Genomic DNA, 21,268 nt, shown 5'->3' with positions numbered 1-21,268 from the left:
AAAGAACCTGACTCCGATCTTTGTAGTTTTGACTTTTTACTTCCTACCCCTGAATGGTATTCATTTCTGAGGCACTGCCAGGAATTGTTTTTCTGGTTCCACTCTGGGTTTGCAAGCTTTCTCTCCAGGCTCTCCTGCAGCCCAAGACCCATGTTGGAGCCGCTGGGAGAGCTGGGGCAGTGGGCTGAGGAGGCCAAGGCCCAAACCAGCTCCAGGCGAACAGCTGCAGCACAGCTGTGATGTTACCTGCATGGTGCAGTGGGGTCGCCCTTGGGCTCGAGGCATCATGTTCTAAGGCAGTCTTCACAGACACGTTTTCTTGTGTGCTAAGAGAGGGGCAGAAACGTAGCTGCCAAAAAACCATTTGGTTTCTCAGCTGTGTTTACAAGCTGAGGAACATGAGGCACGTCGAAATCCAGTGTTTCCTTTTGACTGAAATACAGACTTCTAGGAGGACACTGAAATGAGGGTGGGATGGCTGGGTAGATGGAGCATGAGGAAGTTTCAGCTTCTTATTCCCACCCTCCCAGTTTCGGTGTGGGATTCTGACTGTCCTCTTGTCTGCAGATTGCTCAACCACTGGAAAAGGCAGTTGGTAGGAGGAGCAGGGATTTTGCGGTCAGCACAACTTCATAGCCCTTATCACCACTGGCAAATGATTTCTTTAGTATCCCCGAGCCCTGCTGTCATGGCAGTCATGGAAAATGATGATATCTGCATGGTGCTTTGTGTCAAAGTAATGGATGAGCCTAATCATAGTGGGTGGAATCCATCTCAGGGGTGCAGTCGCTCCAGCCTCTGCTGCCAACTTGCCCTCCTTCCCAGTCCCATGGAGCTGGGGCACTCCCCGGCATACCTGTTGGGAAGCCCTGATAAGTGTGCTTGTCTGTTTTCTCGTCTAACAAAATGGAAACACCGTGAAAGCAGAGACTTTCTTTTATTCACTGCTGTTTATCTCCAGCTAACAGAACAGTGCTGTGCGCATGGTAGGTGTCCAGTAAAATGTTTGGTGAATGAATGGATGAACAAATGAATGAGTCTAGGCTTACAATCTGGTTCTGGCTCTCCCTACTGTGAGCACCTTTCTGAGACTGTTTCACAAGGCCATGGTGGAGGAAGATAAATGACATAAGTAAAGTGTCACTATGTCTGGTTTGTGGCCGCTAGATGGGGGATATTCGGTTCCTTTCTTCTATTTTTTTTTCTCCAATAGTTTCTGAGAGGCCTAGGAAGAAAATTTTTGCTGCATTCTGAACTCATGGATAAAATGAGTAAATAGAATAAGACCTCTGAATTGTGGCCTAATTGTGAAAGGCATTTAGGGAAAAAGACCTGAAATATTTCTTCAGTTCTTACCTGAATCCTCTTAGGTTCAACGCCTGGTATTGATTTGCATGACTGAATTAACACTTCAAATTTTCAGGCACCTGCTTCTGAGGAACTGAAATGTTTTTGTCAGTTTTGAGGGGGTGGGTTGGCAGCAGGTGTTAGCACTCTTTAAGTTACAAGAGGGAAGACAAGAAGGGGACGGCTTGTTCCATGTCCCTGTCATTTCCTGAAACACCATCTATCACTGGACACTGAGGTCACTTACATTATTTTTTCCTAATGAAAATAGTCTTTCTGGGGCTGATTGTGACCTGTTTAGGGGTCTGTTAACAGCAGGAAGGTGAGTAGGGGACAGCAGGATGGCACTGAGCAGTCCTGGTAGGGCTACTGCCTGCAGTGTCAGGGACAAGCTGAAGCGCTCTCCATCCACGAGGCCTGGGGCTTCCTGGCAGAGCACCTTTGGAATGCTGTCCATACACTGCAGCAAAGGCATTTAAGCCACGTTCTTCCTCCGACCCCTGGCCTGAACTGCGTCTAGCCTTGGCTGTTCCCAAGCAGTTGATGTACATATTGTTGAGCGAGAGAACCTCTCTGAGTCCTGCTTTCTTGGGAATCAGGTTCTAAGTTGCTCTCCTGTGCCTTCCATTTATCTGGACCAACTAGCATTTTATCAAACAGAGGTTATATGGAGATTCTGGCGTGTGAATGGGCCCCCTTCCCCCTTTCCATAATGTCTTATTATTGCTTTGGCAATTGCAGTAGGTCTTTGAAGAGGGAGCTGACTGAAAACTGTGCCCAAATCTCAATGTCTCTTGGAAGTTAAGTTACACATTTTTATTTTAAGTAAAAGCAAAAGAAAACAAACAAAACCCCCAGCTCCCCGCAAAACTCATTGCTGATAATGGAGTTCAATGAGAAAGGAAGAAAATGTTAGCTATTGAGGCTGACAAGCTTTAATGAGCTGCCTGATGGCTCTTCTCTACTGGGCTACGTTACTGTAGAAGAGTTTGCAATTTGGGAGACTTTGAGACCTTTGATCTTTCATGAAACGCAGACTCCTTTCATGGAGAAGTTTGTTCTTTGGTATTTGCCAACCGAAAGAAAAATATCCTGGTAGGTAGATTTTTTATTCCCCCATAGCTTTTTTGAGGAACTATTACTCGACCCAAGTTTGCTTTTAGAAAAACCAAACAAAAAGCTGCAGGAGCAACAAAATAAGAAGAATAAAAGTATGAAGATGACAAGCTTATCTGTCACTTGGCTTGAGCATTTGGTAATTTAAACATGTAAGGGCCTATTTATCTCATGAACCAAGCAGTCCTGAGCTAGGCCCTCCAGGGCTAGTGTAGTGCTTGATCAGGGCCAACGGGGCCCTTCCCGTGAGGCTGTTTGTCACCTTTGTCCTCATGACTACAAGATGACTGCTTCACTTCCAGCGTAACATCAGCCTCACTGGTGGAAGAAAGTGACGGGGCAAAGCAGAAAGGGTAGTACCTATATTAGGACAAGCCAGGGCTTTCTCTGAGGCCTCCAGCAGATTTCCCGTTAGGTTTCACTGGCCATCCCTAGCTGCAAAAGAGGCCAGGAAGGTGTGAGTGTGTTAGCTTAATACTTGCCACCCTGAATAAAATTGGTGTCTGATAGTAAGGAAGACGGGTAGGATGGATATTGAGTGGTCAAGCAGCAGTGTCCACCACATCCCAAAATAACATTTTCCCAAATTTGTAGAATCCAAGGTCTGGTCGGGACCTGTGAGATGGCTGAGAATGACGCCTGCATCTCACAGATAAGGGAGCTACTTTATTTCCTTCTACTTCTGTTCAGCCAAAAACCTCAGTGGCACTTTTTGGCACTTCTGGGTGTGGCTGCTCATCCCCTGATCCCCAAACTGTGCCTGGAATGTGAGTGGGCCGAGAAGTTCCTTCACTGGAGAGCAGAGTGGCAGGGAGCGGGCAGTGTGCGGATGGGAATCAAAAGGCCCGATTGTGCTTTCTCAGGAAAAGCAGCCGGCCAACAATAATGACTGGGCCGCCCCTGAGTGCAGAACCTGGAATCCAGCCTTCTGGAATGAAAAAGCCATGCAAGACTCAGTCCCTGCCCCTGAGGAGTGAAGGCCTAGTAGGGCGGACAGAACAACCACAGGGGAGAGGTAAAGCAGAGAGGTATGCGAACAATGAAGAAAGGCCATAGCAAACGGAGTGGCCAGGCCGGGAAGGTGGCTTGGAGGAGTTGACTTTGACCAGGGATTTATAAAGGTCTGTTATTTGGCGGCTCACAATGGTGTGTAAAAATACTAAGTGAGAGTCAGCAGCTTTGCCTGGTTGGAGCAATTTAACAACACCTGCCTGAAGCCTGCTGTGTTTTCTTTAGAAGAACAGCCTGAGTCAACAGTGCTTATGGATTCCTTGATGGATGCAGAGGGAGTATTAAGTTAGCCAGATTTATTGGAACATGTCTAAAAGACCACTAGCTCTGTACCAGCGTTTCCTCTGAAGTTTCAGTCTCTGTCCTCTCTTCCCTTCCCCACTGCCTGGTAGCTCTGATGTTGCATTTCTGCCCTTGCTTCTCTTGTTTAAGATTCCTTCTTCGAGGGCCCAGCCAGCCTCCTCAGTCCTGGGGCTGTGTGGTAGATAGTCCTCTGGAAGGCATTCACCACCTTGTCATAGGGCCGTGTGGTTGGTGGAGGGGGCAGAAATAAGGAGACTAGTGTTTCAGAGGCTCTTATGGCACACATGGGAACAGGTAGACTGTATTTTGGCATTGAGAGTATCTGGGTGTATTAGTCTGCTCAGGCTGCTATAATAAAATGCTACAGATGGGTGACTTAAACAACAGGTATTTATTTCTTACAGTTCTGGAGACTGGGAAGTCCAGGATCAAGGTGCTGGCTAATTCTGTTCCTGGTTAGGGCTCTCTTCCTGGCTTGCAGATGGCCATCTTCTCACTATGTCCTCCTGTGGTAGAGACAGCATCTTCTTTCTTCCTTTTTGCTATGTCCTCTTCCAATGAAGATGCTAATCCCATCATGAGGGCACCATCCTTTCAGCCCATTTAACCCTCAGGCCCAGTCTCCAGATACTGTCACATTGGAGGTTAGGGCTTCAGCATATGAATTTGCAGGTGTATTAGTCCGTTCTCATGCTGCTGATAAAGACATACCCAGGACTGGGTAATTTATAAAGGAAAGAGGTTTAATTGACTCACAGTTCCACGTGGCTGGGGAGGCCTCACAATCTTGGTGGAAGGTGAAAGGCACATCTTACATGGTGGCAAGCAAGAGAGAGCTTGTGCAAGGGAACTTCTCTTTATAAAACCATCAGATCTTGTGAGACTTATTCACTATCACGAGAACGATACAGGAAAGACCCACCCCCATGATTCAATGACTTCCCACTGCGTCCCTCCCATGACACATGGGAACTGCGGGAGCTAAATTCAAGATGAGATTTGGGTGGGGACACAGCCAAATCACATCAGCAGGGAACACAATTCAACCCCATAGCACTGGGGGTTCACTAGAGTTTCATAAGGTTCCCAAGGACTCATGGCGGTGACCAGAGCAGTGTGTTTTCTACTGAAAGAAACCTGTGGGAGTTGAAAACCTACAGACTGAAGGTTCTTAAGCTGAGTTTATGGCCTCAAGAGGGTCTGGGAACTTCTGGAAATGCTCTTTAGGGCATTGTATGTGCAGTGCATATGTGTGTCTTTCATCACATTTTCAAAAGGTTTGCTGACCTAACAGTGGTAAAAGCTAATGTCCCAGAGACTGTACCTCTAAAGTAGAAGCTGAGAAGGAACAGGTCTGTGCACACTGGTGTCCACCACCAGCATACCCCCCACCTCATTGTGCAGCCCCATCCCCCTGGAGCATTCCAGAGAAGCTCTGCTCCCTCTTGCTGCTGGGCACTAATTAGACCCTGACTGCTGGCAGGTGAGCTTACTGCCCAAGAACTAAAGAGAGAGAGCTCTTCCCCCAAAAGCTGCCCTGTGCCTCTGTACTCGAAACCTAACCCTTTGTTGACTTCTTTTACTTTTTATTTTTGGAGCAAACTCTATTTTTGGAGAATACATGAAACGAGTGGCTGTCTTACATCATAAACCAGAAAAACCACTGTGCTTATTAAAGGCATTTCGGAGTATTCTCAAGATTCGGACTCAAAGCAGACAATAGTAGAAGCTGGCTTTTCTGCCTCTAAATGGAGGGCTCTGGCCCCCACATTCATTCATCCCTCCTTGAGCTAAACCACTGCCTGCCTGGCTAACTGATCTCAAGAGCAAGGCTGGGACTCATGGGTATATATTTTTGGTCTGTGACTTTTTTCCTAGTTAATTTCTGTGGGGTCTGGACTGTTTTCTAGCCCCATACTTATTATTTTTTCTTGTTCTCTACTTCCTGGTTCTCCCACATGACTAATCCTTCTCTACACCCATGTTGAATTTTATTTGACCTCATTTGATATGTTTTCTCTAAGTCACTTCAGTCCTTTTTAAAACTTGGTAAACATGAATCCATTTTAAAAGCACAGGCCCTCATAGAATCTGGGTTTATCCTCAGGCTAGGTCACTGCTACCCCTGACCAGTCCCCAAAGAATGCTGGAGGCCTTTGCCATGCTCCACCTTCCTATTCTCCACCCAGGCTCCCTTTTCCTCCTCTCCTTTCTCTCCTTCTCTTTCCCTTTTTGTCTCCTTTGCTCTCCTCTTTCTTTCATTCACGCAGGCCTTCCCCTCCTCCTCTGGGCTTTAACTCTGCCGGTTTTCCTAGAGCTTTGCTCAGTCCTGACAGGTGTGAGGACCTGAACTCAGGGCTTGGGATCTTATCTCAGGTTCTCCTGCTTTATTGCAAGGACTCGGGGTCCTCAGCAGATCTTGGCATTCTGGAGGGTGTCACATTATTGGTGTGCATCATCGTTAAGGGTCTTTGGAGGGGATTTCTGTCTGGCATTTGGAAATTGCAGAATTGACTTTCTAAATGTATGGAGTAGCTGGCGACAAAGGGGGGTCACATTGTGGAGGAACAGGGGCCAGTGCATCAGTAAAGAGCAGGAGAGGCAAAGAGAGGAGCTGGTCACTCTTAGAAATTAATGAGGAATTTTATTGATGGCCAGTGGAAAATTGTTTCCTAGTTTGCCTTTCCCAACTCCTCCCTCTCAGTTGAAATCCTGAGGACCTTCAGCCTATAGCTCTAGCAGCTTTGGAGCCTGTATGGAGAAATCCCATGTCATGTATTTTAGGAGCCTGGGCCACTGGTTGGGGAAGTCTGAAAGTAGGCCTGATTTTTACAGGTGTCTGCAATGCTTGGGGTAAGCCCTGGGCACCAGCAAGTCTTCTCTTCCCCTTTCTCTGGTTGTGTTTGTCTAGGCCTGGGGTTGCCCCCCACCAGTTTGGAACCTTTTTAACTGAGCCTGTGGTCACTTGCATAACTCAGCCTGGGTGACCACTCTCCTGAGCTGCCCCAGGCCAGGCGAACCCACTGGAACAATGAAGCTCCTGCTCTGCCCATCCCCACGGTCTAGAGCAAAGAGTCTCAGTCTTGGCTGCACATCACACTTACCTGGGAGCTTAAACAACTTTGATGCCTGGGTCCCAGCCCAAGAGATTCTGATTTAATTGGTTCTGGGATGAGGCCTGGGCATCAGGCATTTTAAAAGCTCTCCCAGTGCTTCCAAAGTGAAACCGAGGTGAGAACTACTGGCTTGGAGTATGACTACTCAAAGCATGGTCCATGGTCTGGCAACATTCATCTCCTGGGAGTTTGTCACAAATTCAGAATCTCAGGCCCTACTCTAGACTTTCTGAATTATAATCTGAAGATCCCCAGATGATCCATGTGCATGTAAAATTTGAGAACTGCTGGCTAGAATATTCTGCTGCCTCCTGTGAGGCTGATTGGACTCACCCATCATCCGCATGCACCAGGTACTGATGCCAGATCAAGCTAGATGGAGCCCAAGAAACTGATGTGGCCTCCCCTGGATCCCTTCTTGGGGATCTGTTCTACATCTGAGTCAGGCTCCCTGCTGTCTCCATTTCTGACTGATCCCTTTTATACCTGTCCACTCAGAAGTCCCAGCATGTCTCAAGGCCAGAGATTGAAAGAGCCAGGCAGTGTTCTTTGTTGTTGTTGTTGTTGTTGTTGTTGTTGTTGTTGTTTTTGAGACGGAGTCTCGATCTGTTGCCCAGGCTGGAGTGCAGTGGCACGATCTCGGCTCACTGCAAGCTCCGCCTCTCGGGTTCACGCCATTCTCCTGCCTCAGCCTCCCGAGTAGCTGGGACTACAGGCGCCCACCACCACGCCCGGCTAATTTTTTTGTATTTTTAGTAGAGGTGGGGTTTCACCATGTTAGCCAGGATGGTCTCGATCTCCTGACCTCGTGATCCGCCCGCCTCAGCCTCCCAAAGTGCTGGGATTAAGGTGTGAGCCACCGCGCCCGGCCGGCAGCATTCTTATATTAAACTAAGGACTGGTAGGACCAGTTGCAGCCTGTGCTTTTTGATGTCTTGGCCTGATGACCCGCCCTTGCTGTGCTTTATTTGGTCAGCCTGGCAGAGCCTGCCATCCTGACCCTGGAGGGTAGGAACAGGAAAATCAGGCTAAAAGGAAAAGTTTCATGAAAGAAAATGGGTACAATATGCTAGAGCTGTGATCAATTAGAACAGAGATGACAGGCACAAAGCACTCGTATTCTTCCCTCACTGTGTGTCCTGAACATGCTTGTTTTTCAACACAGATCTTTCCCCTACTGAGCTCAGACTTGGTGCTAGTTCCTCTGTCAGCAGGGCACACCAGGCAGATATGGTCAATTACTTAAGATGCAACTATTTTGAAATTTCTTTTTCCCAGAGTAGCATCATTTACTGCTCTCGTTGTGAGTCTTGAGTTTTGTCCCACAGCTTCCAAGTTCTCAGATCACATCTCTGAGATGCCATCAGACCTTCGCCTCATCCCACCATGCATGGGGCCACTCTCTAGGCCCTCACAGGCAGTTGGTGAAATGAGTGTGTGTTTCTCCTTGAGGTTTTCATCCACGGCTCTCTTCCATAGATGTTTCCTGAGCCGCACTCTGTGCCCAGTGCTGCAGTGGGCTAGGAGTTGGAAGAACACAAACTTTGTGGGGACTCAGCTGCCTGCCTCAGCTGCGTCACTACTGCCCTAGTCAGGATAGCCCCCCTTCCTCTCATTCACCCAGGGGGAATGACAGCACACTGAGTCACTCAGCTTCTTGACCCCTGTGTCACTGCCTGACCAGTGTCTTACGTTCTTTTCCCACTCACCATTATTTGAAAACGATATGACATGACTTCCTAACCTTTACATCGTACCGGGCCTGCCATTGCCAACTTCCAGAACCACCTGCCATCTTGGTTGATTTGAGCTCAGGAGTCAGGCACAGGAAGGAGTGAAGCTGGTCAGAGACATCATAGGGAGGAGGAGGGACGGAGGGGATAGGAAAGTTCAGGACCTGCTTAAAGGAAGCAGCTGCCACTTAGCTCCAACAGACCCTTACCATATAGGAATTTGGACCCAGTGTTTTCAGCTGTTCTGACTTCAAAAGATGTTAGAAATACAGATTTTATATGTGTGTAAAATCTCTTGCTTTATATATAGACAGATAATCTCTAGAGAGATATATAGAGAGTTATCTCTGTATAGAGAGTATATCTCTGTAAAGTCGTCCAGAAGTCAGGATAGTTGCATTTTTGGGCTCCTTGTGCTCCATGGTCTCTGATTTGTTTTTATTTATCTTGGTCTCTCTGCTTCATTTGTAAGGTGAAATGATAATACCTATTGATTTCACAAAGCTGATATGATGACTAAGATTGTGAGGAATCTCTTCAGAAAAGGCTAATTGTAAGGCATCAAGTTTGAATTGTAAGGCACTTTTGGAAACTGCTTCTACCTTCCTCCCCTCCCCTCCCCTCCCCTCCTTTTCCTTTCCTTTCCTTTTTTCCTTTCTTTTCTTTCTTAGTCTCACTTTCTTGCCCAGGCTGGAGTGCAGTGGCATGATCTCGGTTCACTGCAACCTCCACCTCCCAGGTTCAAGCAGTTCTCATGCCTCAGCCTCCCCAGTAACTGGAACTACAGGTGTGCGCCACCACACTCAGCTAATATTTCTGTTTTTAGTAGAATCAGGGTTTCATCATATTGACCAGGCTGGCCTCGAACTCCTGACTTCAAGTGATCCGCCCACCTCAGCCTCCCAAAGTGCTGGGCGTACAGGCATGAGCCACCACGCCCAGCCCTACATTTCTTTTTAAACAAAACAAGATTTGTGGTTACATATGGTTATCTATCTGTCTAGATAGATAATCTATCTGTCATTTATTGCCTTCAAAATGAAATTAATTTTCAAGGTTTTTTGGAAATGGCTACTAATGATGTAGTTAGATGCCCAGTGGGTTATACCAAGATTCTTTCCTGAGTCACTATTTGTCATTCCTTTTTCCCAACCCTTGTAAGTATTAACTGTCCCCACAGTCTTATTTTATAATCGTTGTGTTGTTGCATAACCATTTCACTTGTGTGCTTTGGGTCTCTTAGAGGACAGACGTGGAGATGCTGCTTACCGGTAGCTTCTGCCACCTCGGCACTTTGGTTTTGGACTGTCTGGACTAGAAAATCTAGGCAGGGTTTATTGCTAATCCCACTTTCTTCCTTTTGCTGGATTTTGAGAAGCCCTGCAACCCCATTTCCATGCAGACTTCCACTGTGGTTGGGAGTCAGAATAACGGGGGAGGAACCTGGGAAGGATGGTGGGAGGTGCAGGGGCAGGGGCCGTGTTTAAGTGTGGAAGCTCAGGGGGTGTCTGTCTTTAGACCTGAATTTCCCCTTCTGCAGCCTCATTTCTAAAGGAATAAAGGGAATTTTCTCTTTCCACCTCCCAACCCATTCCTTGGCCTTTGCTTCATTTGTCGATGGTTGATGTTGTGTGTGGGTGTGTACGTGCAAGAAGATGGCAGGCTGCCGTCTGCGTAGCCTATATAGCTTATGATGTTCCACAGGCTCCACCCACTGGCCTCTCCCACTGTCTCTGGGCGGGGCTCATGGGAGGCAGAAGCATTCTCCCCTATCCCTTTGGTTGCACATTTGAATTACTTGGGGAGATTTTTAAAAAATACTAATGCCTGAGCCCCACTCAAAACTGACTAAATTAAAATGTCTGGAGGTGGGGCATAAGATTTTTTAAAATAGTCTCCAGATTGGATTTGTGTTTATATATACTGAGGTCTGCAACTTACTCTGTAATGCATAAAAAATAAAGTGGGGTGATGGATGAATATGTCAATGGGTAGGTTTGTGATAAGCAGGAACAATGAAATATTAATGGTGTTATTTAGGCAGTAGGCATATGGTATTCATTATAAAATTCTTTCAACTTTGCTCTGATTTGCATATTTTAAATTAGAATGCTGGGAAAAAAACAAACATAACCACTTCTCCAGATGATTGTAATATGCAGCCAGGTTTGAGGATCACTGGACGAAAGGATAAATTAACGAGTGGCCACTGCATTGAGGTGCTTAGGGCAGGAAATTTGGGGCCGATGCCACCCAAGGCTTGAGTGTGGAGGTAAGTGGAGAGAGACTACATTAGTTCTCTGGGTAAAGGGTGTTAAATAAGCAGATTTTGGCACATGCCTGGTGGCTGGGTGGCCATATATTTAGGAAAGGGACCCCAAGGAGGTCCAACTGAGAAAGTAGGTAAGAGCAGACTCCTGGCTGATAAAATATCCATATTGAACCCAATACTTGGCTAATCAGAGTTCTGAGGGCCATTGGGCCACATTATTAGCAAAAAGAAAGAGATGTTTTTGAAAGATGCTGATTCCCTAATTGGAGATGATGTCTGTGGAACATCTGGTTCTTACTTATGGGATCAGACTCTTGGAGCAGAGAAACATTGAGGGTCATCTGGCTCGGCCTCCCACTCAGTGTCTTTCCCAGTGGCCTGAGCTGAATTGTATTGGATTTATGCAGCTGGGTGGAATGATTCTAAGGTCAGCCTTTTAAGGGCAAAACTACTTTGAATTCCAGAGAATGAATATAGTTTAAAACCGTTTTCCTAAAAGAAGAATAAAAGCTGTTTCATGCAAAGCTTGATTGTCTCTCTCTTTCCTGCTGTTTAATTAATTTATTTACTTCTTTTTTAATTTTTAAATTTAGTTTCGGGCTCTAACTGAATCTTTCCTGCTATTTTACAATTGGATGTTGAGGTGCTGGAAGACGCAGAGAGCATCTAGGAGAAGTATGCCGTGTGCTACTTGTGTTTTACTTCCCATGCAGTCATGGGTCCTGGTCCTCCCCGAAGTGTGCAGAATGAAGTCCCTTTCTAAAGCTTTTAAGAAGTACAGAAGCAAAGGCTCTTCTGTCTTGCCTGTGAGGCTGGGGAACAAAGGACAAAGGCCCTTTAAAAAAGAGAGAAGGGGCGAGAGTCCTGCAGATGTGAGGTTGCAGTGTGTGTCAGCCCGCCTGGGAGCTGCAGCCAACTGATTGCAGAGGCCCAAATATGGGACTCATTTGTGGGTTCTGCAAGAAGAAATAGCCTGCTGGTTATGAGTAACCCTAAGTCCCCTTCTGAGAGCCTCTTGGGCTCACAGCAAATTCAATCTGTTCTCCTGGACTTTTGGAGCTTTGATATGGATTAAACTCCTCCTGAGTTCTGTACAACTGATGGCCTTGTTGAGTTTGATCTATAGCTTTTAATGTCAGAGAAATATTAATTTCCATGCCCTTTCATCTTTTAAAGTAACTAATATTTTTATAATGCTTTACGGTTTATAAAAGATATTCATATACCTTATCTTTCTTGATTCATGCAACTTTCTAAAAGGTCTGAGTATTTCAAGGCTTGATGCTGAAATGTCATTTCTTCTCATTCTGTAACTGTCTCTTGGGCAACACTCCAGTTGGCATCTCTATCATGATGGGCCCATAATTTATATCTTTAGCCTGGATCTGTCTCTAAGACCTGATTATCCAGTTGCCAGCTTGTCTCTCCACTGGACTATCTCAAAGGTTCCTCACCTTTCACAGGCTCTACCCCAAACCTGTTCCCTATCTCCAGCAAATGGTGCAGTCAAACATTCACTGGGGCAGGCCAGGCACCTAGGAGCCGTTCTTGATGTCATTCTCTCCTAACTTGTATCCCATCTGTCACTCAGTCCTGTGGCTCTTCCCTCTTGAATAGCTTGACTCCATTCACTTCTTTCCATCTCCTTGGTCACCTCATTAGAACTGAGCTATCCCTGTCTTTTGCCAGGACTATTGCAGTAGCCTATTAACAACTTTTCTCATATCTGTTCTCCCTTCTCTCTCTTTCGTGTCATCCCCAAGTTTAAGAGAAATCTTTTCAAAGATTTCTTCCCTGACATCTGATCTCTTCCCTGACAATCTGCGCTCCATCCATGAGTCCCCTTCCCCTTTTTAAGATCTTTAAATACATTTCTTCCTGCCATGGGGCCTTTGTACATGCCGGTTGGTCCTGGTTGGAACACTCTTTTCACCCTTTTCCCTTTGCCTGGTGCTTAGCCTTCAGATTGTGCTCAAGCCTTAAGGAAACTCTTCCTGCTTTTAGAGATCTGTATTCCTTTATTTCAGAGGGGTTATAATATTTCATGTTTTTGATTCATTATTTTGATTGTTTCACCTTTTCTCTCCCATTATTGTAAGTTCCAATAGAGCAAGGGTCTCTTTGCTTTTCATCACCGTTGTACCTCAGTACCCAGCTCTCAGGAATATTTGTTCAATGAATGAAACCAATGGGGTAGGTAGGACAAGTATTTTTATTCATTTTCTTTTTACACAAGGAGGTTGATTTTTTTTTTTTAAAGAGCAGATGCTTGGCATTATTTTATTTCTAACTTTATAATATGGATATTTCTGCCTCTGATAGGTTCCCTGTGCCATCATTTCTCGGTCTTGGCTCGTTCCAGATTCACTTCAGCAGAGACAATGATGAGCAGTTATTGGTTTGGAAATACTCCCCAGAACATGCAATGCCAGCTCATAAAATGTTTTCAGGTTGTTGGAAATCTTGTGAAAACGTGCATAGTTAACTATTGGAGAATTTAACTGTGAATATGAATGGGGGAGCCATTCATCAGAAGCCCTGTCTGAATAATTGATTAAACAATGCCAGGAGGTGTGTAAGAGAAGGATTTGAAGACTGAGTTGTAAAACTATGGCTGACTAGTAGGGTCCCTCTTGGCAGTCTCACTTTTTTGCCTCGTGGCATTAGGCATTAGTGTCTCAGATCCATCATAATAAGTCTCTGGGCTTACTAACTGTGATCTTGTGTCGGATGGGCCCTGTGCTGCTACCTTCTTGACTTTAGGATATCTCTTGTTACCTTTTTGCTACTTGCTCCCACCAAGGAGCACAGCAGACTCCAACTCACTCTAGGTGAGCTTTCCTCTAGCTCCCGAGGGTCATGTGCCTCTCCATTGTGTTCAAAGAGAATAGGCGCCGGTGGGCCGCTGTCTGGGAAACTCTGTGTTCCTTGGTGCGGTACTGAACCTATTTAGTTAAACTTGATCAACTTTAGCACACCCTCACCAGGAGTGTGTGGATTCTCCTTGGGACCCAAGTCTTCCGTACAAGGCAAACAAGTTGGAATGGGGACTTCTATGATTAAGGTCATCGTTAGTTGAAGAATTTCAAACCATTTTAGTTTTTCATGATATGCTATTTCTTTTTTTTTTTTTTTCATTATTATTACACTTTAAGTTTTAGGGTACATGTGCACAATGTGCAGGTTAGTTACATATACATGTGCCGTGCTGGTGCGCTGCACCCACTAGATATGCTATTTCTTCAATTTCTCATGTGGATTTGGGGTGTGTGTGTCTGTGTTCTCTCATGTGTAAATATTTTCATAGAGGCCCTGAAGCTTCTTTCCTATATAGGGATTTGGGGACATTCCCCCAAACAAGAGGACTTTGTTACCAGGGTGTCCATTCTGGGGCCTTGCTGGTATGAAAATGCTCCCTGGGTTGATCCACAGTGTATTTATTCATGAATGTTACAGGTGCCTTAGAGTTTAGTTCCCTTAGGTGACTGTGGAATTTAAAATAAGAAATCAACCTTTATCCTAGGTTTTTCTTTTTCTTTTCTCTCTCTCTCTCTCTCTCTCTCTCTCTCTCTCTATATATATATATATATATATATATTTTTTTTTTTTTTTTTTTTTTTTTTTTTGTAGAGACGGGGATCTCACTGTGTTGCTCAGACTGGTCTCAAACTCCTGGCCTCAAACTATCCTCCCACTTCAGCCTCCCAAGTAGCTGGGATTACAGATGTGAGCCACCAAACCTGGCTTCCTTTTATTTATCAAGAAAAAAATACTGTTCTTATTGTTCATTACAAAAAGAGTATTACCTCATTAAAGAAACTAAAAAACAAGCAAAAAAGACATCTCTCTGTTTTGTTTTGTTTTGTTTTGTTTGAGATGGAGTCTTGCTCTGTCGCCCAGGCTGGAATGCAGTGGCATGATCTTGGCTCGCTGCAACCTCTGCCTCCTGAGTTCAAGCAATTCTCCTGCCTCAGCCTCCCAAGTAGCTGGGATTATAGGTGTGCACCCTACTCCCGGCTAATTTTTGTATTTTTAGTAGAGACGGGGTTTCACCATGTTGGCCAGGCTGGTCTCGAACTCCTGACATTGTGATCCGCCCGCCTCAGCTTCCTAAAGTGCTGGGATTACAGGCCTCCCAAAGTGTTGGGATTACAGGCATGAGCCACTGCGCCCAGCCAAGACATCTGTCAAAAGCTCATTATGCACTCCCGAAACTGCTGTTAATTTCTCTTGTGTTAGAGTTCAGATTTTTTTTATGAATACTTCTTTTACATAGCTATTAATAAAACATATTCATATAACTATTGTGCCATGCCCTTTTGTATTTAATAATGGACATTTTCCTATTTTAATACTTAGCCATTATTTTTTTTTTTTTAAGGAAGTGAACAAATGAAAGAATGGCTACTCCATAGACAGAGCAGCCTATCTATCACTTTTTAATGGCCGTGTATTGTTCATTGAGTGTATGTTTTGTAGGTTCTTAAGTGACATCCAATTATTAGGATTTTAGGTTATTTCCCATTTTTCCCTCTTTTAAATAAGTTGGCTTAATGTTTAATTAATAGTTTTAGAAAAATGGAAAGAGCAAGAATATACATTAGAAAACAGACCCTGGCCTTTTTTTTTTTTGTACCATCCAGAGAAGTTAATGATTAAGGTAAGAACTTATGATAAGGTTATTTACAATGGGGAAAGAGATCCAGGGGATTCGGGTTGCAGAGAGTAAGGACCGGTGTTTTGTGTGCACTCACACATCACAGCCTAGCCGCAAAAAGATCAAGTTCTGCGGTGTCTGCAGTGTTGCCTTAGTGTCCTTCATACAATGTCTCCCCCCATCCAAAATTTTTTTTTTTTTTTTGAGACGGAGTCTCGCTCTGATGCCCAGGCTGGAGTGCAATGGCGCGATCTCGGCTCACTGCAAGCTCCGCCTCCCAGGTTCACGCCATTCTCCTGCCTCACCCTCCCGAGTAGCTGGGACTACAGGCGCCCGCCACCACACCCGGCTAATTTTTTGTATTTTTAGTAGAGATGGGGTTTCACCGTGTTAGCCAGGATGGTCTCCATCTCCTGAACTCGTGATCCGCCCTTCTTGGCCTCCCAAAGTGCTGGGATTACAGGCGTGAGCCACCACGCCTGGCCCCAGTTTTTTTTTTAAACATAATTCTGACTCTGGAAATAAGTAGGCACCTTTAAACTCTGTGTAGACTTGATTTTGTTTTTTCTTGAAGTTTGTGTGTATCTCTTAATATGTGTGCTAACTTAATTTAGGGTCTAGGTTCATGCTGATGTTGGAAGCATGCCATTCTCCAAGCTTTTTAAAAATATGGATATTCTTAAGTATCTCACACTGAGGCACCCAGCTATAAAGTAACCGTAGTGTAGGTAGGTGCACACTGCATAAACACTTCTTCTGTAAGCTGGAGAAATAGCTGGAGGAGAAATCTGTTCTTAGAACAAGGCACATGCTGTTGGTTCCAGACATTCTTTTTAGTGGAGGATACAAAAGTGTGTTTAACGGTTGCTGGCCCCACGCCTGCTGTCCAGCCCTATGGAATGTGCTCTGTCTGGGCCACACTGCCAGTCATCAAGGCAGTTACTGTGAGGAAGGAAGAAGCCAGCTCTTCAGTTCCTTGACCTGAGCTTTTCTGGCCAAAAGAAGGAATCTGTTTTGAAGATTAGGTTTCCCACCTGGATCCTGCCCACCCCACCCACCCCCTTCTGTGAACTGTCCGGCTTATCGAAGAAGACCCATTTTTCCTTCTTACAGTTGCTGTTTCTTCATTGCAAGTGATTCACCCTGAACGTAAAGTTAGGAAACTTAGTTTATAAGGAACTTTATTTGGTGGAGAAATGTCACCCCATTCTCTCGTTAAAAGATACGATGTCTGGATTGATTCCAATATCTGTGGTTTTTGGCACATGCCATCTTTCTGAAATTGCTTCTCTGTGTTTTATGTAAGAGGAAGAAAGAAAAAGAAAGTTCTAAAACAAAATGGTCAGCTTATTCTTTGGAATTCTATTTGGGCAGTTTAAGTGAGGATAGTACTATACATCCTGTCTTTTCTTATATCAATAATAATAATAACTCCTGTGACTTATTACATTTAACTCTCATAATCAACCCTTTGTATTCAATACTGTTTTGGGCACCATTTTACAGATGAGGAGACTGCGGCTTGAAGAGGTTAAGAAACTTGCTCTTTAGATGGTATTCCAGTGTAGGCAGCCTGACTCCAGAGCTGGATGATCTTCTAACCCCCCCATAACAGTGCTTTCAAGTCATCTGGAAGAACTTATTATGCAAATTAAAATACCCTGGGCATCTGGAAAACATTTGTTTCTTAGGTTGTGCCTATTTCATAATTTCTTTTCTTTTTTATTTTGAAAAAGTTCAAACCTGAGAAAGGTTGTAAAAATAATACAGTCAAGACATATATCATTTGACTAAATCCATCAGTTGCTAATATTTTACCATATTAACTTATTTTTCTGTCTTTCTGCGTATGTGTATGTTGTGTGTGTGTGTGTGTGTGTGTGTGTGTGTGTTTGATGACCCTTGAAAGTTAGTTGAGACATTATGACATTTCATCTCTAAATACTTTAGCTGGTATCTTTGAAAAAAAAAAATTCTGCTAAACAACCTCAATGAAAATCATAGGCCGGACGCGGTGGCTCACGCCTGTAATCCCAGCACTTTGGGAGGCTGAGGCAGGTGGATCATGAGGTCAGGAGATTGAGACCATCCCGGTTAACATGGTGAAATCCCGTCTCTACTAAAAAATACAAAAAAAAAATTAGCCGGGTGTGATGGCGGGCGCCTGTAGTCCCAGCTACTTGGGAGGCTGAGGCAGGAGAATGGCATGAACCCGGGAGGCGAAGCTTGCAGTGAGCCGAGTTCGTGCCATTGCACTCCAGCCTGGGCGACGGCATGAGACTCTGTCTCAAAAAAAAAAAAAAAAAAAAAAAAGAAGATCATAATGCTCAAAAAAATTTTACATTAATACACTGCTATTATCTAAGGCATTCATGTTCAAATTGCCCTAGTTGTCCCCAAAATGTCCTTTATAGCCACCTCTTTTTCTGATCCAATTTATCAAAAAGGAAACTTAGCTTTTATGATTTGTAATCTTGATATCATCATGCACATTCTCTTCTCAGACTGGGAACAGTTTTCTTTGGCTTAACTAGGAGACCAGGGATCTTGCTGGAGTTCCAGATTTGAGCTCTCTGCCCTTCCTGACTAAGCAGCCCCACAGTGTCCTCACTTGACACATGCTGTTTTATGGGGCGCCACGTCTTCTTCGTTCCTTCTCTCTCCTCTGATCCACTTTTTTCCTTGACCCTATTCTTCTCCTTCGTTTCTTTCTTCCTCATTTTCTTTTTGCCCCTTCTCACTTTCTTCCTTCTTTTCTCCAACCCCCTAGGACACACACAAGACTTGTTCTTATGTGCTGTAATTGGAAGTTGTAAATCAATGGGGTTGAAGGTGGGAGCCACCAAATTGGATTCATTTATGAGTTGGGATAGAGAGTTGGTGGCGGGCCTGAGCTGATGGTATACTGGGGACTGATCCAGCTGTACCCCCCATTGGAGGAGGTTCAGCTGGCTTGAAACAGTGTGAGGCTGAGAGGATACAAGAGTGGCCAGCTCCACTATTCACAGTAGCAAAGACTTGGAACCAACCCAAATGTCCATCAATGATAGACTGGATTAAGAAAATGTGGCACATATACACCATGGAATACTATGCAGCCTTAAAGAAGGATGGGTTCATGTCCTTTGCAGGGACATGCATGAAGCTAGAAACCATCATTCTCAGTAAAATATCACAAGGACAGAAAACCACACGCTGCATGTTCTCACTCGTAAGTGGGAGTTGAACGTTGAGAACACATGGACAAAGGGAGGGGAACATCACATACTGGGGCCTGTTGGGGAGTCTGGGGCTGGGGGATGGATAGCGTTGGGAGAAATACCTAATGTAAATGACAACTTAATGGGTGCAGCAAACCCACATGGCACATGTATACCTATGTAACAAACCTGCACGTTGTGCACATGTACCCTAGGACTTAAAGTATAATTAAAAAAAAAAAAAAGAGTAGCTAGCTCCAGTCCAGGGCAACATCAGCTGTGGAGGACAAGGAAGGGATGGGGTGTGCCAAAATGGGGTAGAAACGACGCTGTGTTGTATTGGAAAGAAAATAGACTTTAAAGTCAGAAAGAAAGGTGAAAATAGCAAGCTTTTACTGACTGGCTGTGTGATCTTGGGAAGGTTATTTAACTCCCTAAGTCTTGTGTGCTTCAACCACAAATGGGAAGAGTATAACCTACCTTGCAGCATTGTGTTGAGGATTAGGGATAATGCGTATTAAAGCAGAGATCCTGGCACACGGTGGTGCTCAGTCAACAGTGGCTGTTAGGTATTTACATGGTGTCCCAGGAAGTGGATGGGGCATCACAGTGAGGGGAGGTGATGGTTGGAAGTTCATGCAGGTGGCCAACATGAGGCTGAGCTGCCAGTGGTTAGAAGGATCTTAGGAATGCAGTGCAGGGCAGGCTTCCTGTTCCTGGGAGGGAAACTTGTGAGTCAGTTTCCAGCGATCGGGAGCAGGGGCCACAGGAACACTCCAGTTCAGAGACATGGGGCTTGGTGTCTGGGAGAGAATCGAAGAGCCAGAACCAAACTGTCTGATCAGGTTCAAATCAATAGCAAGGGCACTTGCGGCTGAGTCATCCGGAGTATCTCTTGTTTTGGGTTAGCATTAGGGAGAAGCTAGGGTTGGGGGAGTGACTGTGGGAGGAGGGCTGGGACTCAAGCTAAGCCTAGTGTTTGTTCTCCTTTTACATCCGCTAGTAGTGTGGTGACCATGATAACATTCCAGAGGCTCTTTTCTTCCTGAGTCCTTGGCCCAAAGTTAGGTAAATTGTCTCTAGGTAGATAATGATGTCCCGATAATGAGCTCAGAGTCCAAACTGCTAGGCTGATGGAGATTCACTCACCTTTTGCCTTGGTCTGCTCAGGCCACCTTAACAAAGTACCATAGACTGGGTGGCTTAAACAGCAGACGTTTATTTCTTACAGCTCTGGAGACTGAAAGTCTGAGATCAGTGTGCCAGCATAGTTGAGCTCTGGTGAGCGCCCGCTTCCTGACTTGCAGACAGCTGCCTTCTTTCTGTGTCCTCACAGGGCAAAGAGGAGTGGGAAGGAGAGGAAGGGAGAAAGAGAGAAGACTGAGAGAGAGAGAAGAAGGGGAGAGAGAGCAAGCTTTCTGGGCTGTTCTTATAAGGGCACTAATCCCATCATGGGAACCCCACCTCATGACGTCATGTAAACCTCCCAGAGGCCCCATCTCCAAATACTATCACATTGGGGGTTAGGGATTCAATATATGAATTTTAGGGGGACACACTTTCAGTTCATAACACCCTCCTTCCATGCCCTCATTCCCAGACACTTGAGAATCCATGTGTAATGAGAGTGTTACCTTGAGGAGTATGCGGCTCCTGCGTATTATATGGAGGCAGAGACAAGGATTCAGAAGCACAGTTCTAGCAGCTTGTCAGTAAGCCACTGCAGGGGAGCTTTGATGAACTCTCATATGGCATAGGTCCTTCCTTTCTACCTACGATTTTTCTTTTTAAAATTTCCTTATTATTTTTATTTGAGAGGCATGAACATGAGGCAAAATATGTTATTTCCTGTTCTTTGTAAAATCTCCAAATTGAGCTGTCTGTAGTCAAAAGTGAGGTAATCTTCTTCTTTTATCCAAAAGATTAACTTATTCTGAGCTTTCCTTCTATCTGAGTCGTGGCTAGGATCAACATACACTTCTTAAATATTCCAATTCCATATCAAGGATAGTGCTCCTCCTTCTCCCTGAGCCACTGGAGGGAGCACCAATGTATTAACAGTTTTCTTTGTTGACTGAATTTGCTTTTTTTAACCTGCTTTCTGAAAGTGCATCACATTACCATCCAAACTTATTGGACATAATTTTTTAAAGTATGTAAGCAAGTAACATATAATCTATTTTACAAATTATGCAGTAAGACATAGTGGGATATAATTTAAGAAGATGCAACTAGCCCTTATTTTTCCACTCTCTGGAGGAATTTCATAACTTTTCACATGTTTGCACTTCCTGTCTCTGATCTGTATCTTCTTTGGCTCCTCTGTCTTGATGCCCCTCCCAACTTCTGTTCACCTAAGTCCTTGATGCCATCAGTGAACATCAGATTCCTTCTTTGGAAGACCAGTGGTTCTCAGAGTGTGCTTTATGGACCAGCAAAGCATACGAGAACTTGGTAGAAAGACATATTCTTGGGCCCCACTGCAGACCTACTGAATTAGAAACTCTAGGGTG

At 44.8% G+C, this 21,268-nt stretch overlaps 1 protein-coding gene across 2 annotated transcripts in view, besides 5 other annotated features; it reads left to right on the top strand.

Annotated features, from left to right (window-relative positions):
• CREB3L2 (cAMP responsive element binding protein 3 like 2) overlaps nt 1-21,268 on the top strand; it is a 127,108-nt gene that overhangs the window by 14,878 nt on the left and 90,962 nt on the right. The gene's annotated exons all lie outside the window — the stretch shown is intronic.
• Nucleotides 419-488: an enhancer, noted in NCBI's record as "active region_26734". NCBI's record gives its function as "activates an Ori minimal core promoter by ATAC-STARR-seq in GM12878 lymphoblastoid cells {active_cell/tissue: GM12878}" and the evidence as "EXISTENCE:reporter gene assay evidence [ECO:0000049][PMID:35858748]".
• Nucleotides 819-968: an enhancer, noted in NCBI's record as "active region_26733". NCBI's record gives its function as "activates an Ori minimal core promoter by ATAC-STARR-seq in GM12878 lymphoblastoid cells {active_cell/tissue: GM12878}" and the evidence as "EXISTENCE:reporter gene assay evidence [ECO:0000049][PMID:35858748]".
• Nucleotides 5,587-5,676: an enhancer, noted in NCBI's record as "active region_26732". NCBI's record gives its function as "activates an Ori minimal core promoter by ATAC-STARR-seq in GM12878 lymphoblastoid cells {active_cell/tissue: GM12878}" and the evidence as "EXISTENCE:reporter gene assay evidence [ECO:0000049][PMID:35858748]".
• Nucleotides 5,687-5,736: an enhancer, noted in NCBI's record as "active region_26731". NCBI's record gives its function as "activates an Ori minimal core promoter by ATAC-STARR-seq in GM12878 lymphoblastoid cells {active_cell/tissue: GM12878}" and the evidence as "EXISTENCE:reporter gene assay evidence [ECO:0000049][PMID:35858748]".
• Nucleotides 8,043-8,971: an enhancer, noted in NCBI's record as "H3K27ac-H3K4me1 hESC enhancer chr7:137662984-137663912 (GRCh37/hg19 assembly coordinates)". NCBI's record gives its function as "activates a minimal SCP1, AML or CMV promoter by ChIP-STARR-seq in naive H9 embryonic stem cells {active_cell/tissue: H9 hESC(naive)}" and the evidence as "EXISTENCE:reporter gene assay evidence [ECO:0000049][PMID:30033119]".

The sequence above is a fragment of the Homo sapiens genome, chromosome 7, assembly GCF_000001405.40.
Source record: "Homo sapiens chromosome 7, GRCh38.p14 Primary Assembly".
In the NCBI taxonomy this organism is placed as follows: Eukaryota; Metazoa; Chordata; class Mammalia; order Primates; family Hominidae; genus Homo; species Homo sapiens.
Note: the sequence above shows the minus strand (reverse complement) of the source record. Positions and strands in the feature narration are given on the sequence as shown.